Source organism: Homo sapiens, chromosome 19, assembly GCF_000001405.40.
Source record: "Homo sapiens chromosome 19, GRCh38.p14 Primary Assembly".
Lineage (NCBI taxonomy): Eukaryota > Metazoa > Chordata > Mammalia > Primates > Hominidae > Homo > Homo sapiens.
The window spans coordinates 45,374,207-45,379,637 of record NC_000019.10 but is presented as its reverse complement, the minus strand read 5'-3'; the positions used below and the strand labels follow the sequence as shown (position 1 = coordinate 45,379,637).

At 47.1% G+C, this 5,431-nt stretch overlaps 2 annotated features.

The window, feature by feature from the left end:
• Positions 2,621–3,459: an enhancer, noted in NCBI's record as "H3K27ac-H3K4me1 hESC enhancer chr19:45879437-45880275 (GRCh37/hg19 assembly coordinates)". NCBI's record gives its function as "activates a minimal SCP1, AML or CMV promoter by ChIP-STARR-seq in primed H9 embryonic stem cells {active_cell/tissue: H9 hESC(primed)}" and the evidence as "EXISTENCE:reporter gene assay evidence [ECO:0000049][PMID:30033119]".
• Positions 3,460–4,297: an enhancer, noted in NCBI's record as "H3K27ac-H3K4me1 hESC enhancer chr19:45878599-45879436 (GRCh37/hg19 assembly coordinates)". NCBI's record gives its function as "activates a minimal SCP1, AML or CMV promoter by ChIP-STARR-seq in primed H9 embryonic stem cells {active_cell/tissue: H9 hESC(primed)}" and the evidence as "EXISTENCE:reporter gene assay evidence [ECO:0000049][PMID:30033119]".

Sequence of the window (5,431 nt, the reverse complement as noted above, 5' to 3'; positions counted from 1 at the left end):
TTGACTTTCTTCTCTTTTGATTCTGTTTTGACTCAATACATGCTCATCATTGTGGTTATGATTTTTGGCAAGGCAGTCTGAAAGTAGCCCTTTCTTCTTCTTCTTCTTTTTTTTTTTTTTTTTTTGATCTCACTCTAGTGCCCAGGCTGGGGCACGATAGCGCAATCTCAGCTCACTGCAACCTCTGCCTCCTGAGTTCAAGCGATTCTCCTGCCTCAGCCTCCCGAGTAGCTGGGATTACAGGCATCTGCCACCCCACCTGGCTAATTTTTGTATTTTCAGTAGAGACGGGGTTTCACCATGTTGGCCAGGCTGGTCTTGAACTCTTGACCTCAGGTGATCCACACACCTCGGCCTTCCAAAGTGCTGGGATTACAGGCCATTAGCCACCATGGCCAGCCTGAAAGTAGCCCTTTCTAAGGGATTCTTTTCACACAAGTCCAATCCTTTATTTTATATTTCGGATTCTTCTTTTGTGTCCTTTAGTTTCAAGTACATGCCTGATAATTCTATCACCTGAAGTTTGGAGGCAGCTAATCCTATAGTTTGTTGTGTCTGCTGGTTCTCACTCATGGTGGGCTGTTTCCTTGGGTGTTGAAATTGTAGGTTGAGAGGCCAGGCGCGGTGGCTCACGCCTGTAATTTCAGCACTTTGGGAGGTCAAGGCGGGTGGATCACTGGAGGCCAGGAGTTTAAGACCAGCCTGGCCAACATGGTGAAACCTCATCTCTACTAAAAAGCACAAAAATTAGCCTGGTGTGGTGGTAGGTGCCTGTAGTTCCAGCTACTTGGGAGGCTGAGGCAGGAGAATCTGTTAAACCCGGGAGGCGGAAGTTGTGGTGAGCCAAGATTGCACCATTGTACTCCAGCCTGGGCTACAAGAGCAAAATTCCCTCTCAAACAAACAAACAAAAATCTCTGCCAGCTTGGACAACATAGGGAGACCCTGTGTCGATCAAAAATAAAAAAATTAAGCCAGGTGTGTGGCTCACGCTTGTAATCCCAGCAATTTGGGAGGCTGAGGCAGATGGATCACCTGAGGTCAGGAGTTTGAGACCAGTCTGACCAATATGGTGAAACCTGGTGTCTACTAAAAATACAAAAATTAGCCCGCCGTGGTGGTGTGCACCTGTAGTCCCAGCTACTTGGGAGGCTGAGAAAGGAGAATCGCTTGAACCCGGGAGATGGAGGTTGCAGTAAACCGAGATCACGCTACTGCACTCCAGCCTGGGTGACAGAGCAAGACTCTGTCTGAAAAAAAAAAAAGAAAAAAAAAATTGCCGGGCGTGGTGCCTCACGCCTGTAATCCCAGCACTTTGGGAGGCCAAGGCAGGTGGATCACCTGAGGTCAGGAGTTCGAGACCAGCCTGACCAATATGATGAAACCCCGTCTCTACTAAAAATACAAAAATTAGCTGGGCGTGATGGCATGTACCTGTAATCCCAGCTACTCAGGAAGCTGAGACAGGAGAATCACTGGAATCCAGGAGGCAGAGGTTGCAGTGAGCTGAGATAGCACCATTGCACTCCAGCCCGGGCAACAAGAGCGAAACTCCGTCACAAAAATATAATAAATAAATAAATAATTAGCTGAGCGTGGTAATGTACACCTGAGGTCCCAGCTACTCAGGAAGCCAAGGTGGAAGGATCGCTTGAGCTCAGGAGGTAGAAGCTGCAGTAAGCTGTGATCACGCCACTGCATTCCAGCCTCTGCCACAGAATAGACTTTGTCTCAAAATAATTTTTATTTATTTTATTATTTTTATTTTTTTATTTTATTTTTATTTTTATTTATTATTTATTATTATTTTTTTTTTTTTGCGACGGAGTCTCGCTGTTTCGCCCAGGCCGGACTGCATTGGCACTATCTCGGCTCACTGCAAGCTCCGCCTCCTGGGTTCATGCCATTCTCCTGCCTCAGCCTCCCGAGTAGCTGGGGCTACAGGCTCCCGCCATGGCGTCCGGCTAATTTTTTGTATTTTTAGTAGAGATGGAGTTTCACTGTGTTAGCCAAGATGGTCTTGATCTCCTGACGTCATGATCCGCCTGCCTCGGCCTCCCAAAGTGCTGGGATTACAGGCGTGAGCCGCCGCGCCTGGCCTCAAAATAATTTTTAAAAATGAAAAATAAATAAAGACCAGGAGCCATAGCTCACGCCTGTAATCCCAACACTTTGGGAGGCCCAGGCAGGTGGATCATGAGGTCAGGAGTTCAAGACCAGCCTGGCCAAGATGGTGAAACCCCATCTCTACTAAAAATACAAAAAATTAGCCGGGCGTGGTGGTGGGCGTCTGTAATCTCAGCTACTCAGGAGGCTGAGGCAGGAGAATTGCTTGAACCCAGGAGGTGGAGGTTGCAGTGAGCTGAGATCGCGCCACTGCACTCCATCCTGGGTGACAGAGCGAGACTCCGTCTCAAAAAAAAAGAAAAAGAAAAATAATAAATAAAACCAAACCTCTGCACTCCGTGATTCATCATGAGAGAGATAATGATTCAAATGAAATATATTGCTATGATGACTGTTTCCAAATTGCTAACATAGTTTATGACCAATTTTTGGTTTGTCAAATTCATAATCTGTGAATGTGACCTTATATGGTAAAAGGGAGGTTGCAGTTGTGCTGACCTTGAGGATCTGAAAATGAGACAATAATCCTGGAGTATCTGAGTGAGCCCTAAACCTGGTCTCCAGTGTTCTTTTTTTTTTTTTTTTTTTGAGATGGAGTCTTGCATTGTCACCCAGGCTGGAGTGCAGTGGCACGATCTCGTCTCACTGCAACCTCTGCCTCCCAGGTTCAAGCGATTCTCCTGCCTCAGCCTCTCAAGTAGCTGGGATTACAGGCACCTGCCACCATGCCCGGCTACTTTTTTGTATTTTTTTAGTAGAGACGGGGTTTCACTGTGTTGGCCAGGCTGGTCTCGAACTCCTGACCTTGTGATCCGCCTGCCTCGGTCTCCCAAAGTGCTGGGATTACAGGCGTCAGCCACCATGCCTGGCTCCAATGTTCTTATAAGAGGAAGATTGGATAGGAAGACAGAGACAGGCCATGTGACACTTGAGCCAGAGGCTAGCTGCCAGCTTTGAAGGTTAGGGAAGGGGTTCCGAGCCAAGGAATGCAAGGTATGCAAAGAATTTGGCTCTAGAAACTGAAAAAGACAAGGAAATGATTCTCCCGTGGAGCCTCCCTGGAGATCATAGTGCAACCTAGCAGGAAGGGCCCTCCCACTACCCGCAAACCCCACTTTAGTTTTTTTTTCCTCTAGTGATCGCCATTTTTTTTTTTTTTTTGAGATGAGTCTCACTCATGGTTCACTGCAACCTCAACGTCCCAGGCTTAAATGATCCTCCCGCCTCAGCCTCCCAAGTAGCTGGGACTATAGGCACCACATCCCACTAATCTCTCTCTTTTTTTTTTTTTAATTTTCCGTAGAGACAGGATCTCACCGTGTTGCCGAGGCTGGCCTTGAATTCCTGGGCTCAAGTGATCCTCCTGCCTTGGCCTCCCAAAGTGCTGGGAATATAGACATGATTCACTGCACCCAACCAACATTGGATTGATATTCTCTTAAATTCTCCAACTTTTTCTCCCATTAAGGGACATAGTGCTGTTTATTAGATGGGTAATATCATAGATAATTCGACTTGGACCATGGAGTTCATTCAAATTGTGTATCTTGACAATTTTAGTATTGGCTGATGTAACATGACAATCTAGGAGAGTATTTCCTTGGTATTTAATTCATGTTCTGCTTGGTTTAGCAATTTTATAAACCAGCCTAGGCCTTGCACAGTGGCTCATGCCTGTAATCCCAGCGCTTTGGGAGGCCAAGGCAGGTGGATCACCTGAGGTCAGGAGTTCGAGACCAGCCTGGCCAACATGGTGAAACCCCGTCTCTACTAAAAATAAAAAAATAAAAAAAAAAATAGCCGAGCATGGTGGTGGGTGCCTGTAATCCCAGCTCCTGGGGAGGCTGAGGCAGGAGAATCACTTGAAACCGGGAGGCGGAGGTTGTGGTGAGCCAAGATCGTGCCACTGCAATCCAGCTTGGGCAACAAGAGTGAAAATCCATCTCAAAAATAATAAAATAAAATAAAATAAAATATAAACCAGTCAGTTTCTTCATTAGAGTTCTGGAAATTCTTACCCAGTCCAAACAATATGATCCTAAAATTTATCAGAAACCTATACTCAGGCTGGGTACAGTGGCTCACGCTGGTAATCCCAGCACTTTGGGAGGCCATGGCGGGCAGATCCCTTAAGCCCAGGAGTTCAAGACCAGCCTGGGCAACGTGGCGGAACCATGTCTCTACTAAAAATACAAAAAATTAGCTAGGCACGGTGGTGCACACCTACAGTCCCAGCTACTCAGGAGGCTGAGGTGGCAGGATCACTTAAGCCTGGGAAGTTGAGGCTGCACTGAGCCATGTTCTCACCACTGCACTTCAGCTGGAGCAACAGAAGTGAGACCCTGTCTCAAAAAAAAAAAAAAAAAAAAAAGAGAGAGAAAAGAAACTTTTATGCAACAGTGCTTGTCAGGGTCCTTCCATCCTTTCTCTCTTTCTCCCTTTCTCTCTCTCTCTCTGTCTCTTTCTCTCTTTCTCTCTTTCCTTCTTTCTTCCTTTCTGAGACGGAGTCTGTTGCCCAGGATGGAGAGCAATGGCGCGATCTTGGCTTACTGCAACCTCTACCTCCCAGGTTCAAGCCATTCTCCAGCCTCAGCCTCCCAAGTAGCTGGGACTACAGACATGTGTCACCACGCCCGGCTAATTTTTGTATTTTTAGTAGAGATGAGGTTTCACCATGTTGGCCAGGCTGGTCTCCAACTCCTGACCTCAAGTGATCCGCCCGCCTCGGCCTCACAAAGTGCTGGGATTATAGGCGTGAGCCATCACTCCTGCCATGGAGCTGACTTTTGTTTTTTTCGAGACAGAGTTTCACTCTTGTTGCCCAGGCTGGAGTGCAATGGCGCGATCTCGGCTCAGCGTTAACCTCTGCCTCCCAGGTTCAAGCGATTCTCCTGCTTCAGCCTTCTGAGTAGTTGGGATTACAGGCATGCGACACCACACCCAGCTAATTTTTGCATTTTTAATAGAGATGAGGTTTCACCGTGTTGGTCAGGCTGGTCTGGAACTCCTGACCTCACATGATCCACCTGTTCCAGCCTCCCAAAGTGCTGGGATTACAGGCGTGAGCCCCCGCGCCCAGCCAGGAGCTTTCTAAACAAAATAAATAAGTAAAATATTCAGCATGTCACATGGTTAAATGAGCTCTCAAGAACAATAAAGCAGGGAAAGGGGATATAGTGTGTGTGTGTGTGTGTGTGTGCGTGCGTGCGTGTGTGTGTGTGCGTGCGTGCGTGCGTGTGTGTGTGTGTCTAGGAGGTAGATTTAATTTGGTGGTCAGGAAGCCCTCATTGAGAAGGAGACTTTT